The sequence below is a fragment of the Homo sapiens genome, chromosome 4 (assembly GCF_000001405.40).
Source record: "Homo sapiens chromosome 4, GRCh38.p14 Primary Assembly".
NCBI lineage: Eukaryota > Metazoa > Chordata > Mammalia > Primates > Hominidae > Homo > Homo sapiens.
In genome coordinates, this window is record NC_000004.12 from 86,857,087 (window position 1) to 86,876,204 (window position 19,118).

At 41.8% G+C, this 19,118-nt stretch overlaps 1 pseudogene, besides 1 other annotated feature; it reads left to right on the forward strand.

The window, feature by feature from the left end:
• Window positions 427–927: an enhancer, noted in NCBI's record as "OCT4-NANOG-H3K4me1 hESC enhancer chr4:87778666-87779166 (GRCh37/hg19 assembly coordinates)". NCBI's record gives its function as "activates a minimal SCP1, AML or CMV promoter by ChIP-STARR-seq in naive H9 embryonic stem cells {active_cell/tissue: H9 hESC(naive)}" and the evidence as "EXISTENCE:reporter gene assay evidence [ECO:0000049][PMID:30033119]".
• RPL6P13 (ribosomal protein L6 pseudogene 13) lies at window positions 13,079–14,347 on the forward strand (annotated as a pseudogene).

The following is a 19,118-nucleotide window of genomic DNA, read 5'->3' on the forward strand; positions in this document are numbered from 1 at the left end:
TAGCTACTATGCCTGGGGCATTATAAATGCTCAGTAAATATTAGCTATTGTGGTGATCGTTGTTATTAATAACATCTGTTTCATCTAACCCAGAAAAATAACAATGTCAGGATCAAAAAAAAAAAAAAAAAAGGCTACTCCTTTTCTCCTGCTTCCAATTTTCTGATTTGTTTTCCAAAGCCTTTTGTTAGTAAAACTTAGAAATTTCTTTCAAATACTAAAAGGGTCATGAGAAAACAAAAAATATATATACTTATGTGATCTCATGATAAATGAAGGCCACCATTAGGAAATAACTCTCCTCTTAGTTTGAAGGAAGTTATGTCAGCTATTTCTACTACTTGTGTAAAGTAATTCCACAAACTGCAGTGCTAGAATTCTGACACTCCCCTGGGTACACCTGAGTTTTGATGCAACAGAGTACCTGGGAAAGGAGGTGGCAGTGCAGGTGAACCAGGCTAGTATATGTTTGGTCATTTGTTGGGTTCACAGTATGCTTGTCTTACCTGTTCTACATAGTTGGTGAGAGTGGGAGAGTAAATTTAAATTCCAACAGGAAATAGATATATGGTGAGCAATCTCTGAAACAGTAAGAGAGAGGGAATTTTCCTCTGGCACTTGGAAGGAGTTAATTTTATAGAGTTAACGTGATGCGGGAAAAAAGGGCACCTGCAACTGAAGTCTACAAAGGCGACATCTACATTTGAATGTTGTGAAAGTTTCAAAGTGAAAAGCAATCCTTTAGCATGGAGGTGGATGATTAGAAGCAAACGCCCGGTGGCTCACGCTTCTAATCTCAGCACTTCAGGAGGCTGAGGGGGGTGGATGGCTTGAGCTCAGGAGTTAGAGACCAAACTGGGCAACATGGTGAAACCCCTTCTCTACAAAAATACAAAAATTAGCTGGGCATGGTGGCAAATGTCTGTAGTTCCAGCTACTCAGACGGCTGAGGCACAAGAATCGCTTGCACCTTCCAGACGGAGGTTGCAGTGAGCCAAGATCGTGCCATTGCACTCCAGCCTGGGCGAAAGAGAGACCCTGTCTCCAAAAAAAAAAAAAAAAAAAAAAAGCAAAGGAGAGGGACTGACACTAAGAAGAACAGTAGGAGCCTATTAGGAGAAAATCCCAAAATAGAGCCTGAGGCCCCCAGTAGAATGGCTTATACAGCTTGTTCCTTCTCTAGGATTAATTCAGACTAATATTATGCCCTTTGTTACAAATACAGAAGACTAAGATCCCTAGATTCTTTGCTTAAACACTGCTGGTGGGAAAGTAAATTAGTACAACCTCTATGGCTAACAGTAGGGAGATTTCTCAAAGAATTAAAAATACATCTACCATTAATCCAGGAATCTCACTACTGGGCAACTACCCAAAGGAAAAGAAGTCATTATATTAAAAAGACAACTGCACACATATGTTTATGACAGTACAATTCACAACTGCAAAGATATGGAATCAACCTGTGACCATCAACTGATGAGCGGATAAAGAAAATGTGGTATGATATATGCCACAGAATAGTATACAGCCAAAAAAAAAATCTTTTGCAGCAACTTGGATGAAACTGGAGGCCATTATCGACGGAAATGAAGTAACTCAGGAACAGAAAACCAAATACCGAATGTTCTCACTTATAAGTGGGAGCTAAGCTATGGATGTACAGCGGCATGCAGAGTGGTATAATGAACATTAGAGAATCAGAGCAGGGTGGGGGGTAATAAGGGATTGAAAACTACCTATTGGGTACAATCTACACTATTCGGGTGATGGGTGCACTAAAAACCCAGACTTCACCACTATAAAATTCATCCATGTAACCAAAAACCACCTGTACCCCTAAAGCTACTGAAATAAAAAAATTAATAAATAAATAAAATTTAAAAATAAAAAAGGCTGGGCATGGTGGCTCATGACTGTAATCCTAGCACTTTGGGAGGCCAAGGGGGGTGGATTGCTTGAGGCCAGGAGTTCAAGATCAGCCTGACCAACATGGTGAAACCATGTCTCTACTAAAAACACAAAAAGTGCCGGGCGTGGTGGCGGGTGCCTGTATTCCCAAGTACTCAGGAGGCTGAGGCAGGAGAATCGCCTGAATCTGGGAGGTGGAGGTTGCAGTGAGCCAAGACTGCACCACTGGACTCCAGCCGGGGCAATAAGAGCGAGACTCCATCTAAAAAAAAAAAAAAAAAAAATCACTATTTTTGTTTACAGGTTTTAGGACACTTGCTGAAAATGGCCCTGCTGCCCAGAAGGCCTGCTGTGGCCCAGAACTGCCAGAGATTGGATAGGGAAATTTATCTTATTCCAAATTTTAGTATGGGGCCCACTTGCCCCTATACAAGCCATGTCTTCAATGTGAGCTTTTGCAATCATAAAGCTGATGTTTGGATTTCCTACCTGTTTATTCTTTGGTATTATTGCATATTTGGTCCAGATCCTAGACAAAGAACAAGGGTATCACAGTTTTGGTGCCCGTCAAAACTCTAGCATCCAGTATAATTGACCAGAATTGTTGAGAATTAGGGTGGAATGTGGAGACCAAAATAACAAGGATTCTGGTGGGGCCAGGGTATATGGCTTTGGGCCTTGGATTCAAGAGGCAGGTTGGGCATTTTAACCTTGAAAATCTCCAGAGATTATTTCTGGGTAATAAGACTCAACTTTACAATTGTGCAGTTGGATTTTTAACTATTATGACCTGAGCAAGCAGTTTAAGCCCAAGAAACTAATCACATGAGATAAGAGATTTTCACTCTGATTGGTCACTGAAGCTATGAAAGCTCTTCAATTGCTGGGGGTTTTTTGGGTTTTTGTGGGGTGGGGGGGTGTTTTGTTTCGAGACAGTGTCTTACTGTCACACAGGCTGAAGTGCAGTGGTGTGATCATAGCTCAGTATCACCTCAATTCCTGGGCTCAGGTCATCTTGAGTGCTGTTTTTAGAGACAAAAGCCCATATTAACTGGGCCTGAAGCAAATTGTACATAGGCCTCACCCACCTTAAGTAAAGTTAAGTTCTTTATCAAATACATGGGTCAGCAAGGGCCTTACTTAGCACAATACTGGCTGAAAGCAGCCTCAGCAAACCCTGGCTACATAAGTACTAAGTAAGCAACACCTACTAGTCCCAGTAAGCAAGACATGCAGGCTACAGAATCATAGTGTGTTATGAAAAAAAAAAAAAAGCCACACATTCAGGCATCAGCAGGTCCTAGAGGCCTTAATGAGAGCAGAGTGTCAGCAGGGTATCAGCAGATATCGGCAGGCCATGCAGGCCCCAGGTCAAAAGTGGACCAAATAAGTAACTCAACAGCACAGGCTTCTGGAAAATAATGAACTTTGAAGTGACAGAAATCTAGACTTGCGTCTCATCACTCCCTTAAAAGTTGCATCGCCTTGAGGCAGGGCACAGGGGCTCATGTCTGTAATCCCAACACTTTGGAAGGCCGAGGTGGGTGGATCACTTGAGCCCAGGAGTTCGAGACCAGCCTAGGCAATAAGGTGAAACCCTTATTTTGGCAAAAAATGCCAAAATTAGCTAAGGCAGTTGTGGGTGCCTGCAGTCCCAGCTACTCCTTAGGCTGGGGTGGGAGGATTGCTTGAGACCAGGAGTCGAGGCTTCAGTGAGCCGCGATTGGGACATTGCACTCCATCGATAGAGTGAGACCTTGGTCTCAAAAAGAAGAAAAAAAAGCTGTGTCACCTTGGGTAAGTTACAGATCCTTCACCTAGCCCCCCAGTTCCCTCAGAACTAGAACAGAGATTTGAAAATGTAACCAATTAAACATGCACCTATAAGCCAGCCATTTCTCTCCTGGAGGTATTTACTCCAAAGAAATGAGAGCATATGCCCAGATAACACTCACAGCAGTTTTATTTGTAAGCACTGAGAACTAGAAGCAACCCAAATGTTTACCAATAGGTTCCTGGATAAACGAAGTGTGATATATCCTGACAATAGAATCCTACTCAGCAATAAAAAGGAACACACATGCAATAACATGGATGAATCTTAAAATAATTATGCTGAATACAAGAAACCAAAATATAGTATATACTGAATGATTCTATTTATATAAAATTCTCAAAATGCAAACCAATTTATAGTGCCAGAAAGCAGATCAGTGGTTGCCTAGAGGCTGGCGGTGGGAGAACAGTGAGAAGGGATGGATTACAAGGGGTACAAGGAAACTCTTGGGCCAATGGCATGTTCATTACCTTCACTGTGAGTGTGTCCCACAGGTGCAGACACATGTCAAAACTCATCAAATTGTATACCTTAAGCAGGTGCAGTTTATGTCACAGCCAATTACACCTCAATAAAGCTGAAAAAATATGTGGGTCAAAGAATATATAAGATTGAACAGCAGACTCAAACCCCTTGAGCACTCTTCAAAAGTGGCACCTTTTTGGTCATTTGTGGTGACTCACACCTGTAATCCCAGCACTTTGGGTGAATCTCTTGAGTCAGGAGTTCAAGACCATCCTGGGCAACATGGCGAAACGCAATTTCTACTAAAGATACAAAAAAGTAGCCGGGCATTACCAAAACAGAGATATAGACCAATGGAACAGAACAGAGCCCTCAGAAATAAAGCCGCACATCTACAACTATCTGATCTTTGACAAACCTGACAAAAACAAACAATGGGGAAAGGATTCCCTATTTAATAAGTGGTGCTGGGAAAACTGGCTAGCCATGTGTAGAAAGCTGAAACTGGATCCCTTCCTTACACCTTATACAAAAATTAATTCAAGACGGATTAAAGACTTACATGTTAGACCTAAAACCATAAAAACCCTAGAAGAAAACCTAAGCAACACCATTCAGGACATAGGCATGGGCAAGGACTTCATGTCTAAAACACCAAAAGCAATGGCAACAAAAGCCAAAATTGACAAATGGGATCTAATTAAACTCAAGAGCTTCTGCACAGCAAGAGAAACCATCATCACAGTGAACAGGCAACCTAGAGAATGGGAGAAAATTTTTGCAACCTACTCATCTGACAAAGGGCTAATATCCAGAATCTACAATGAACTCAAACAAATTTACAAGAAAAATACAAATAACCCCATCAAAAAGTGGGCAAAGGATATGAACAGACACTTCTCAAAAGAAGACATTTATGCAGCCAAAAAACACATGAAAAAATGCTCATCATCACTGGCCATCAGAGAAATGCAAATCAAAACCACAATGAGATACCATCTCACACCAGTTAGAATGGCAATCATTAAAAAGTCAGGAAACAACAGGTGCTGGAGAGGATGTGGAGAAATAGGAACACTTTTACACTGTTGGTGGGACTGTAAACTAGTTCAACCATTGTGGAAATTGGTGTGGCGATTCCTCAGGGATCTAGAACTAGAAATACCATTTGACCCAGCCATCCCATTACTCAGTATATACCCAAAGGATTATAAATCATGCTGCTATAAAGACACATGCACATGTATGTTTATTGTGGCACTATTCACAATAGCAAAGACTTGGAACCAACCCAAATGTCCAACAATGATAGACTGGACTAAGAAAATGTGGCACATATACACCATGGAATACTATGCAGCCATAAAAAATGATGAGTTCATGTCCTTTGTAGGGACATGGATGAAGCTGGAAACCATCATTCTCAGCAAACTATCGCAAGGACAAAAAACCAAAAACTGCATGTTCTCACTCATAGGTGGGAATTGAACAATGAGAACACATGGACACAGGAAGGGGAACCTCACACACCAGGGACTGTTGTGGGGTCGGGGGAGGGGGGAGGGATAGCATTAGGAGATATACCTAATGTTAAATGACGAGTTAATGGGTGCAGCACACCAACATGGCACATGTATACATATGTAACAAACCTGCACGTTGTGCACATGTTCCCTAAAACTTAAAGTATAATAATAAAAAAAAAAAATTAGCCAGGCATGGTGGTGCATGGCTGTAGTCCCAGTTACTCAGAAGGCTGAGGTGGGAGAGTCATCTGAGTACAGGAAGTCCAGGCTACAGTGAGCCATGATCGTACCACTACACTCCAGCCTGGGCATTGGAGTGAGACCCTGTCTCAAAGGGAAAAAAAAAAAAAAAGTGGCACCTTTTCAACAATCTTTTTTAAAAAGTTATTAGAGACAGGGTCTCACTCTGTTGCCCCAGCTGGAGTGAAGAGGCGTGATCATAGCTCACTGCAGCCTCGGACATCTGAGCTCGAGTGATCCTTCCACCTCAGCCTCCTGAGTAGCTGGCACTACTGGCCGTGCCACCACTCCTGGCTTTGACAATTTTTAAAGTAATACATTCATTTATCCAACAAATACTGATAAGAGTGGCTACTCTGAGTAGGTATTATTGTAGACACTAGAGACAACACAGAGAAACACAGGCAAATAAAAAAGCAAGCAAATAAATAACTGCAGAGAGTGATGTTAGTGCTGTAAAGGAACTAAAACAAGGTGCTGTCACTGCAAGTGACTGAGTAAAAGGAAAGGCCAGTTTCTCTGGGGGGTGGTGGGGAGGTCCCAGGAGGCCTCCCACAGCAGATGTTATTTGATCCAAGTCCTCAATAATCAGGAGGCAACTCTGCAAAAATGTGAGGGCTGAGAACCTTGGGGAAAATAAACAAGAGCAAAGGCTCTAAGGTGGGAACAAGTCTGATGTGTCGGAAACAGCAAGTAGGCCATGATCTAGAGCCCAGTGGGGCTGGATCATGAGTGGGAGGAATGAGGTCAGAGAGCAAGGCGAGTGGGAGAAAGCACAGGGCCTGGTCACCCCCCAGCAGGGGCAGACTGACACCTCACACGGCCGGGTACTCCAACAGAACTGCAGCTGAGGGTCCTGTCTGTTAGATGGAAAACTAACAAACAGAAAGGACATCCACACCAAAAACCCATCTGTACATCACCATCATCAAAGACCAAAAGTAGACAAAACCACAAAGATGGGGAAAAAACAGAGCAGAAAAACTGGAAACTCTAAAAAGCAGAGCGACTCTCCTCCTCCAAAGGAACGCAGTTCCTCACCAGCAATGGAACAAAGCTGGACGGAGAATGACTTTGACGAATTGAGAGAAGAAGGCTTCAGATGATCAAATTACTCCGAGCTACAGGAGGACATTCAAACCAAAGACAAAGCAGTCGAAAACTTTGAAAAAAATTTAGAAAAATGTATAACTAGAATAACCAATACAGAGAAGTGCTTAAAGGAGCTGATGGAGCTGAAAGCCAAGGCTCGAGAACTACGTGAAGAATGCAGAAGCCTCAGGAGCCGATGCGATCAACTGGAAGAAAGGGTATCAGCGATGGAAGATGAAATGAATGAAATGAAGTGAGAAGGGAAGTTTAGAGAAAAAAGAATAAAAAGAAACGAACAAAGCCTCCAAGAAATATGGGACTATGTGAAAAGACCAAATCTACATCTGATTGGTGTACCTGAAAGTGACAGGGAGAATGGAACCAAGTTGGAAAACACTCTGCAGGATATTATCCAGGAGAACTTCCCCAATCTAGCAAGGCAGGCCAACATTCAGATTCAGGAAATACAGAGAACACCACAAAGATACTCCTCGAGAAGAGCAACTCCAAGACACATAATTGTCAGATTCACCAAAGTTGAAATGAAGGAAAAAATGTTAAGGGCAGCCAGAGAGAAAGGTCGGGTTACCCTCAAAGGGAAGCCCATCAGACTAACAGCAGATCTCTTGGCAGAAATTCTACAAGCCAGAAGAGAGTGGGGGCCAATATTCAACATTCTTAAAGAAAAGAATTTTCAACCCAGAATTTCATATCCAGCCAAACTTAGCTTCATAAGTGAAGGAGAAATAAAATACTTTACAGACAAGCAAATGCTGAGAGATTTTGTCACCACCAGGCCTGCCCTAAAAGAGCTCCTGAAGGAAGCACTAAACATGGAAAGGAACAACCGGTACCAGCTGCTGCAAAATCATGCCAAAATGTAAAGACCATCGAGACTAGGAAGAAACTGCATCAACTAACGAGCAAAATAACCAGCTAACATCGTAATGACAGGATCAAATTCACACATCACAATATTAACTTTAAATGTAAATGGACTAAATGCTCCAATTAAAAGACACAGACTGGCAAATTGGATAAAGAGTCAAGACCCATCAGTGTGCTGTATTCAGGAAACCCAACTCACGTGCAGAGACACACATAGGCTTAAAATAAAAGGATGGAGGAAGATCTACCAAGCAAATGGAAAACAAAAAAAGGCAGGGGTTGCAATCCTAGTCTCTGATAAAACAGACTTTAAACCAACAAAGATCAAAAGAGACAAAGAAGGCCATTACATAATGGTAAAGGGATCAATTCAACAAGAAGAGCTAACTATCCTAAATATATATGCACCCAATACAGGAGCACCCAGATTCATAAAGCAAGTCCTGAGTGACCTACAAAGAGACTTAGACTCCCACACATTAATAATGGGAGACTTTAACACCCCACTGTCAACTTTAGACAGATCAACGAGACAGAAAGTCAACAAGCATACCCAGGAATTGAACTCAGCTCTGCACCAAGCGGACCTAATAGACATCTACAGAACTCTCCACCCCAAATCAACAGAATATACATTTTTTTCAGCACCACACCACACCTATTCCAAAATTGACCACATACTTGGAAGTAAAGCACTCCTCAGCAAATGTAAAAGAACAGAAATTATAACAAACTATCTCTCAGACCACAGTGCAATCAAACTAGAACTCAGGATTAAGAATCTCACTCAAAACCGCTCAACTACATGGAAACTGAACAACCTGCTCCTGAATGAATACTGGGTACATAATGAAATGAAGGCAGAAATAAAGATGTTCTTTGAAACCAACGAGAACAAAGACACAACATACCAGAATCTCTGGGACGCATTCAAAGCAGTGTGTAGAGGGAAATTTATAGCACTAAATGCCCACAAGAGAAAGCAGGAAAGATCCAAAATTGACACCCTAACATCACAATTAAAAGAACTAGAAAAGCAAGAGCAAACACATTCAAAAGCTAGCAGAAGGCAAGAAATAACTAAGATCAGAGCAGAACTGAAGGAAATAGAGACAAAAAACCCTTCAAAAAATTAATGAATCCAGGAGCTGGTTTTTTGAAAGGATCAACAAAATTGATAGACCGCTAGCAAGACTAATAAAGAAAAAAAGAGAGAAGAATCAAATAGACGCACTAAAAAATGATAAAGGGGATATCACCACCGATCCCACAGAAATACAAACTACCATCAGAGAATACTACAAATACCTCTATGCAAATAAACTAGAAAATCTAGAAGAAATGGATAAATTCCTCGACACATACACTCTCCCAAGACTAAACCAGGAAGAAGTTGAATCTCTGAATAGACCAATAACAGGATCTGAAATTGTGGCAATCATCAATAGCTTACCAACCAAAAGGAGTCCAGGACCAGATGGATTCACAGCCGAATTCTACAAGAGGTACAAGGAGGAACTGGTACCATTCCTTCTGAAACTATTCCAATCAACAGAAAAAGAGGGAATCCTCCCTAACTCATTTTATGAGGCCAGCATCATCCTGATACCAAAGCCGGGCAGAGACACAACCAAAAAAGAGAATTTTAGACAAATATCTTTGATGAACATTAATGCAAAAATCCTCAATAAAATACTGGCAAACTGAATCCAGCAGCACATCAAAAAGCTTATCCACCATGATCAAGTGGGCTTCATCCCTGGGATGCAAGGCTGGTTCAATATAAGCAAATCAATAAATGTAATCCAGCATATAAACAGACCCAAACACAAAAACCACATGATTATCCCAATAGATGCAGAAAAGGCCTTCGACAAAATTCAACAACCCTTCATGCTAAAAACTCTCAATAAATTAGGTATTGATGGGACATATCTCAAAATAATAAGAGCTATCTATGACAAATCCACAGCCAATATCATACTGAATGGGCAAAACTGGAAGCATTCCCTTTGAAAACTGGCACAAGACAGGGACGCCCTCTCTCACCACTCCTATTCAACATAGTGTTGGAAGTTCTGGCCAGGGCAATTAGGCAGGAGAAGGAAATAAAGGGTATTCAGTTAGGAAAAGAGGAAGTCAAATTGTCCCTGTTTGCAGACGACATGATTGTATATCTAGAAAACCCCATTGTCTCAGCCCAAAATCTCCTTAAGCTGATAAGCAACTTCAGCAAAGTCTCAGGATACAAAATCAATGTACAAAAATCATAAGCATTCTTATACACCAACAACAGACAAACAGAGAGCCAAATCATGAGTGAACTCCCATTCACAATTGCTTCAAAGAGAATAAAATACATAGGAATCCAACTTACAAGGGATGTGAAGGACCTCTTCAAGGAGAACTACAAACCACTACTCAACGAAATAGAAGAGGAAACAAACAAATGGAAGAACATTCCATGCTCATGGGTAGGAAGAATCAATATCGTGAAAATGGCCATACTGCTCAAGGTAATTTACAGATTCAATGCAATTCCCATCCAGCTACAAATGACTTTCTTCACAGAATTGGAAAAAACTACTTTAAAGTTCATATGGAACCCAAAAAGAGCCCGCATCGCCAAGTCAATACTAAGCCAAAAGAACAAAGCTGGAGGCATCACGCTACCTGACTTCAAACTATACTACAAGGCTACAGTAACCAAAACAGCATGGTACTGGTACCAAAACAGAAATATAGATCAATGGAACAGAACAGAGCCCTCAGAAATAATGCCGCATATCTACAACTATCTGATCTTTGACAAACCTGACAAAAACAAGCAATGGGGAAAGGATTCCCTATTTAATAAATGGTGCTGGGAAAACTGGCTAGCCATATGTAGAAAGCTGAAACTGGATCCCTTGCTTACACCTTATACAAAAATCAATTCAAGATGGATTAAAGACTTAAACGTTAGACCTAAAACCATAAAAACCCTAGAAGAAAACCTAGGCATTACCATTCAGGACATAGGCATGGGCAAGGACTTCATGTCTATAACACCAAAAGCAATGGCAACAAAAGCCAAAATTGACAAATGGGATCTAATTAAACTAAAGAGCTTCTGCACAGCAAAAGAAAGTACCCTCAGACTGAACAGGCAACCTACAAAATGGGAGAAAATTTTCACAACCTACTCATCTGACAAAGGGCTAATATCCAGAATCTACAATGAACTCAAATTTACAAGAAAAAAACAACCCCATCAAAAAGTGGGCAAAGGACATGAACAGACACTTCTCAAAAGAAGACATTTATGCAGCCAACAGGCACATGAAAAAATGTGCATCATCACTGGCCATCAGAGAAATGCAAATCAAAACCACAATGAGATACCATCTCACACCAGTTAGAATGGCAATCATTAAAAAGTCAGGAAACAACAGGTGCTGGAGAGGATGTGGAGAAATAGGAACACTTTTACACTGTTGGTGGGACTGTAAACTAGTTCAACCATTGTGAAAGTCGGTGTGGTGATTCCTCAGGGATCTAGAACTAGAAATACCATTTGACCCAGCCATCCCATTACTGGGTATATACCCAAAGGACTATAAATCATGCTGCTATAAAGACACATGCACACGTATGTTTATTGTGGCATTATTCACAATAGCAAAGACTTGGAACCAACCCAAATGTCCAACAATGATAGACTGGATTAAGAAAATGTGGCACATATGCACCATGGAATACTATGCAGCCATAAAAAATGATGAGTTCATGTCCTTTGTAGGGACATGGATGAAATTGGAAATCATCATTCTCAGTAAACTATCACAAGAACAAAAAACCAAACACTGCATATTCTCACTCATAGGTGGGAATTGAACAATGAGAACACATGGACACAGGAAGGGGAACATCACACTCTGGGGACTGTTGTGGGGTGGGGGGAGGGGGGAGGGATAGCATTGGGAGATATACCTAATGCTAGATGACAAGCTGGTGGGTGCAGCGCACCAGCATGGCACATGTATGCATATGTGACTAACCTGCACATTGTGCACATGTACCCTAAAACTTAAAGTATAATAATAATTAATTAATTAATTAAAAAAAAAAAAAAGCACAGGGCCTGGTAGGCCGTGGGGAAGGGCATTACTCAGGGAAGTGACAGGATCTTTTTGGCAATAACATGACTGCCATTTTTAAAAGATCACTTTGGCTGTTGAGGACAGACTATAGGAAAGTCAAAAATGAAAGCAAGGAGGTCAGTTAAGAGGCCTTCTCCATATTCCAAACAAGAGATGATGGAGACTAGGGTGAGGATGATAGAGGTAAGAGAGAAATTGATACATGTGGAATATATTCAGGAGGTAGAGCCCATGATACTTGCCAATAGATTGGACCAAAGAGGAGATGAAGGACCTGGAGGAATCACAGATGACCCCCTGGGTTTCTGGCCTAAGCAATGGAATAAAAATGGTGCCATTTACTGGAATGGGAAAGAAGATAACTGTTCTTAGAACTACAATGAAAAGAGTATATTATGTACAGTGGCTCATGCCTGTAATCTCAGCACTTTGGGAGGCCAAAGCAGGAGGATCAGTTGAGGCCACGAATTTGAAGCTGCAGTGAGCTATGATGGTGCCACTGCACTCCAGCCTGAGCAACAAAGCAAGACCGTATTTCTAAATAAAATAAAAAGGTGAAAAGAGGTTAGAGAAACCTCTGTCCTAGGGAAAGCAAGATCCTGAGATACAGACAATGAGCAAAGGGGAGCCTTTTTCCCTCCATTCTTGCTGCTCTGTCAACTGATGGCGTAGGTCCTGCCTCATCAAGAGTCTGGCCCAGCCCCAGCCCCAGACTTTCTTCTCCTCCTGATGTTAGAACTCTGCTCTCCTCTTTCTTGCCCCTTTCTCCCTTGCAGTTGTGGTAAGGACTAAAGAATATAAATAGAATGCCTAGAAGAGTTTCAAGTACATAATAAATTCTTGTTAATTTTTTTCTTTCTTCTGTTTTTTCTTTGTTATTAGATAAAATGTTTTCACGGATAAAATTTTAATACACTTTGTCAACTGAAAACAAAAAGATTCCATAAATTCCAATAATTCACTATTAAATTTCTATGCTGAGTTCTCTTTCCCATCTTGCAAGATGGTGGGTGAAAAGGTTGAGAAGCCAGATCCTAAAGAGAAGAAACCAGAAGCCAAGAAGGCTGATGCTGGTGGCAAGGTAAAAAGGGGCAGCCTCAAGACTAAAAAGCCCAAGAGGGAGAAGCCCCATTGCAGCTGAAATCCTGTCTTTGTCAGAGGAATTGGCAGGTATTCCCAATCAGCCATGTATTCCAGAAAGGCCATGTACAAGAGGAAGCACTCAGCTGCTGAATCCAAGGTTGAAAAGAAAAAGAAGTTCTTGCAACTATTACAAAACCAGTTGGTGGTGACAAGAACGGTGGTACCCAGGTGGTTAAACATCGCAAAATGCCTAGATATTATCCTACTGAAGATGTGCCTCAAAAGCTGTTGAGCCACGGCAAAAAAACCGTTCAGTCAGCACATGAGAAAACTGTGAGCCAGCATCACCCCTGGGACCATTCTGATCACCCTCACTGAGCACCACAGAGGCAAAAGGGTGGTTTTCCTGAAGCTGCTGGCTAGTGGCTTGTTACTTGTGACTGGACCTCCGGTCTTCAACCAAGATCCTCTACAAAGAACACGCCAGAAATCTGTCACTGCCACCTCAACCAAAATTGATAATCAGCAATGTAAAAATCCCAAAACATCCTGCTGACGCTTACTTCAAGAAGCAGCAGCTGTGGAAGCCCAGAAACAGGAAGGTGAGATCTTCAACACAGAAAAAGAGAACTACGAGATTACAGAGCAGCACCAAATCGATCAGAAAGCTGTGGACTCACAAATTTTACCAAAAATCAAAGCTATTCCTCAGCTCCAGGGCTACCTGTGATCTGTGTTTGCCCTGATGAATGGAATTTATTCTCACAGGCCAGGTGCAGTAGCTCACACCTGTAGTCCCAGCACTTCAGGAGGCTGAGGTGGGTAGATCGCTGGAGCTCAGGAGTTCAAGGCCAGCCTGGGCAACATGGCAAAACAGCATCTCTACTAAAAACACAAAAAAGAAAATTAGCCAGGTGTGGTGACGCATGGCTGTGGTCCCAGCTACTGGGAAGGCTGAGGTGGGAGGATCACTTGACCCAGGAGGCAGAAGTTGCAGTGAGCCAAGATCATGCCACTGCACTTCAGCCTGGGCAACAGAGTGAAACACTGTCTCCAAAAAAAAAAAAAAAAGAAAGAAAGAAAAGAAGGAAAGAGAAAAAAAAAGAAATCTATCCTCACAAATTGGTGTTCTGAATTTCTTAAGAACCTAAGTAAATAACTGATTTTAAAAATTATATACCAAACTATTTTTCATTTAAAAAAATTACAGCACGCAGGCCAGGCGTGGTGGCTCATGCCTGTAATCCCAGCACTTTGGGAGGCCAAGGCAGGTGGATCACTTGAGGTTAGGAGTTCGAGACAAGCCTGGCCAACGTGGTGAAACCCCATCTCTACTAAAAATACAAAAATTAGGGCCAGGCATGGTGGCTCACGCCTGTAATCCCAGCATTTTGGGAGGCAGAAGCAGGCAGATCACGAGGTCAGGAGATCAAGACCATCCTGGCCAAGATGATGAAACCCCATCTCTACTAAAAATACAAAAAATTAGCCAGACATGGCGGCACGTGCCTGTAATCCCAGCTACTCAGGAGGCTGAGGCAGGAGAATTGATTGAACCCGGGAGGTGGAGGTTACAGTGAGCCGAGATCGCGCCTCTGCACTCCAGCCTGGGTGACAGAGCAAGACTCCACCTCAAAGAAAAAAAAGATTACAGCATGCAATTCACTGGAGTTTAGATATCCGGTTCATTCTTTTCTCAAGATCTGCCTCCTCTATGCTGTCAGCCAAGGTTTTAGGCTGTTTGTTATCTCTGTTTTATTCTGCGTAGTCTCCCTGGATGAGCTCAAAGACATCCATGGTTTCAGTTTTCATCTCTCTACTTTCCCTTTCCTGAACAGCACATCTGTAAAGCCCACTACTGGAGATCTCCACTCGAGTGTCTCCTGAGAGCTTCAAACACCAACCTAACAAAAACGAAATGTATCTCCTACATCCCCAAGACAATTTTTCCTTTCCCATTCTCTCTGATGACAGCATGTACCCCATGGCCCAAGCCCACAATCTAGAAGTCATCCTAGGTTCCTCCCTTTCATTCACTCGCATCCTTTTTCCTAAGCTATGCTGTGATTTCTACTTCTTCCACGACTCCTGAGTCAGAGCCACATCATCTACTGCACCTTCATTTCCTTAAGTCATGTACTTTGTCACACCTGGATTACTGGGAGAGCTTTTCACATGACAGATGGAGATAAAAAATAAGCAGAAAAAATAGCCTTGAGGGAACACATACAATGCAGGGAGAAGAAATCTATTTTATATCCTCACAGATAAGAAAAAATAAGCAATTATGAATAAAACAGGTTACCTTTTACAAAGGAGAAGGGCAAGTATTCAGAGAAAAAAATAAAAATATAGTAGCAGAAAAGAAAAACTTCTGGTGATTGGAGGACAAAACTGAAAGGATCTCCCACAAATTGCAGCAAAAGGCAAAGGGATAAAAAACAAGAGAGAAAAGATAAAAATTTAGAAGGCCAGTGCAGTACATGAATAATAGTACTTCTTCTAGAAAGTACAGGGAAAACGAAAAGATAGAAATATATACGAATTAATTTTTAAGATAATTTTCTGGAAGTGAGGGACATGAGTTTCTAGATTGCAAGGGTTTGAAGCATGTCAGGTATAATGGATAATGGTAAGAGTAGCTAACACGAACAGTGTTAGGGCTTCCTCTGTGCCAGGCACTGTTCTAACTGCTTTAATATATTTAACTCATTTCCTTGTCAAAACCATCATTATCTACCTTTTACAGATGTAGAAATTAAAGCTGAGAAAAATTAAATAAACTGTCCAAGACAATACAGTCAGTAAGTGATGAAAGTGGCATTCAACTCCAGCTGGCCCACGCCCTACACTCAATGCTCTAAATCACTGTACTATATTGGATGTGAATAGACTTACACCATGATTCCTATCAGGACACTGGGATCTAGGGGAAGATGCCATAAGCTTCCAGGGAGAAAAAGCAGGTCTCATGGAAGGATCCACAGTAAAGATGGTTTCAGAATGCTGACAATAATAAAACTAAAAAGAAATGAACAGGCTGGGCATGGTGGCTCACACCTATAATCCCAGCACTTTGGGAGGCCAAGGCAGGCAGATCACCTGTGGTCAGGAGTTCAGGACCAGCCTGGCCAACATCGCTAAACCCTATCTCTACTAAAAATACAAAACTTAGCCGCACATAGTGGCATGTGCCTATAATCCCAGCTACTAGGGATGCTGAGGCAGGAGAATCACTTGAACCCTTAAGGCGGAGGTTGCAGTGAGCCGAGACTGCGCCACTGCACTCCAGCCTGGGTGACAGAGCGAGACTCCGTCTCAAAAAAAAGAAAAAAAGAAAGAAAGAAAGAAAAAGAAATGAACAAACCCTTCAAAATTTTGTAGGAACATTATTTACAACCTACAATGCTATACCTAGCCAAGCTGTCAATGACATCTTGAGAGTAAAATAAAGACTCTAGACAAGAAGAACTCAAAAAATTTTCCTCCCATGTACCCTATCTCAAGTAACTACTGGAGAGGATGCTGCACCAAAATAAAGCAGCAAACCAAGAAAGAGGATGACCACACAAGAAACAGGGGCATCTGCACAGAAGAGAGTCGAGTGAATCCCCAGGCGGATAATGTCAAAATCACAGAAGGAGAGTTTGTTCTGAGTATGAAAATAAACAGTCCAGGTTAGAGCAGGACAAGACTTCTTACGGGCCTTCTCAGGAAGGTGAAATAGAATAAAATACATCAGAATGTTTTGAGAGGACTAACAACTGGCAATGAGCACGGAGTTAATAAATAAATATTTCAATAAATGCATGGAAAACTAAGCAATTACTAAATCCAATTACTAAATTTCTAAATCCTGCAAAAAGAAAGTAACAGGGAAGGAAAATTAATCATGGTTTGCTACATAGATCAGTTCTGAAATGTTCACGTACTGCTGTGGTATGAATGTTTATGTCCCCCAAATATTGTATGTTGAAATCCTAATTCCCAAGGTAATGATATTAAGAGCCTTTTGGAAGGTGATTAGGTCACAAAGATGGAGCCCTCATGAATGGGATTAATGCCCTTATAAAAGAAGCTCCTCAGAGCTAGCTGGTCCCTTCCACCATGTAAAGACACAGGTAGGGAACTGTGGACTCAAGAAACAGTTCCTGTCTTCACATGCATTCCTATCCTTGTGGATAGGAACTATCTATTATGAACAGGACCTCACCAGGCATCTGCTGACTCCTTGATCTTGGACTTTCCAGTTTCCATAACTGCAAAAAATAAATTTCTGTTTTGTATAAACTACCCAGTTTATAGTATTTTGTTTTATCAGCCCAAATGGACTAAGACAATAGTCACAATAATGTTAACATTTAATACTGATCTAAGACAAATTATAATATAATCTAATGACATGTTTAGAGGGAAAAGGAAATATTCTACACCTGTGGTAAGGTTAAGAAAAAAAATAGGCCGTGCACGGTGGCTCACACCTGTAATCCCAGCATTTTGGGAGGCTGAGGCGGATGAATGACTTGAGGTCAAGAGTTTGAGACCAGCCTGGCCAACATGGTGAAACCTGGTCTCTACCAAAAACACAAAAATTAGCCGGGTGTGGTGGCACGTGCCTGTAATCCCAGCTACTAGGGAGGCTGAGGCAGGAGAATCACTTGAACCCGGGAGGCAGAGGTTGCAGTGAGCCAAGAGTGTGCCATTGCACTCCAGCCTGGGCAACAAAGTGAGACTCCGTCTCAAGGAAAAAAAAAAAAGAAAAAATGTTATCATCTATACTGGGAAGTCAATAGATTGTGCCTAGAAAGAAAAGAAAAAAAAAACAAACAAACAAGAAGTAGTAATACCGACGTGGTATTTCCAGTTTTCGAGTCATGGAGGTAAATAACAACATAGGTAAAGTACGTGAAATTAGTTGACTCTGTAGAGGTAGAAATGAGTGGTAGTGGTATAGAAAACTATTATTTTATTTTATTTATTTATTTATTATTTTTTTGAGATGGAGTCTCGCTCTGTGGCCCAGGCTGGAGTACAGTGGCGAGATCTCGGCTCACTGCAACCCCCACCTCCCTGGTTCAAGCAATTCCCCTGCCTCAGCCTCCCGAGTAGCTGGGATTACAGGCGCACACCACCATGCCCAGCTAATTTTTTTGTATTTTTAGTAGAGACAGGGTTTCACCATGTTGGCCAGACTGGTCTCCAACTCCTGACCTCAGGCGATCCATCCACCTCAGCCTCCCAAAGTGTTGGGATTACAGGCGTGAGCCACTGTGCCTGGCCTATTTTATTTTAAGACAGGGTTTTTTTCTGTTGCCCAGGCGGGAGTACAGTGATGCAATCATAGCTCACTGTAACCTCGAATTCCTGAGCACTCAAGGGATCCTCCCACTTTAGCCTCCCAAGTGGCTGGGACTACAGTCATGTCTGGCTGATTTTTTTTTTTTTTTTTTTTTTTGCTTTTGTAGAGATGGGGTTTCACTCTTTTGTTCAGACTGGTCTTGAACTCTTGGCCTCAAGAGATCCTCCCACCTCAGCCTCCAAAAGTGCTGGGATTACAGGCATAAGCCACCATGACCAGCTTGGAAACTACTGTTTTAAAAAACAAATCTTTATTTGAAATACATTTACAGAAGCCGGGCAGAGTGGCTCATGCCTGTAATCCCAGCACTTTGGGAAGCCAAGGCGGGTGGATCACCTGAAGTCAGGAGTTCAAAACCAGCCTGGCCAACATGGCAAAACCCCGTCTGTACTAAAAATACAAAAATTAGCCAGGCGTGGTGGCTTGCGCCTCTAGTCCCAGCTACTCAGGAGGCTGAGGCATGAGAATCACTTGAACCCAAGAGGCGGAGCTTGCAGTGAGCTGACATTGTGCCCCTGCACTCCAGGCAACAGAGTAAGACTCGGTCTCAAATAAATAAATAAATAAAAATAATA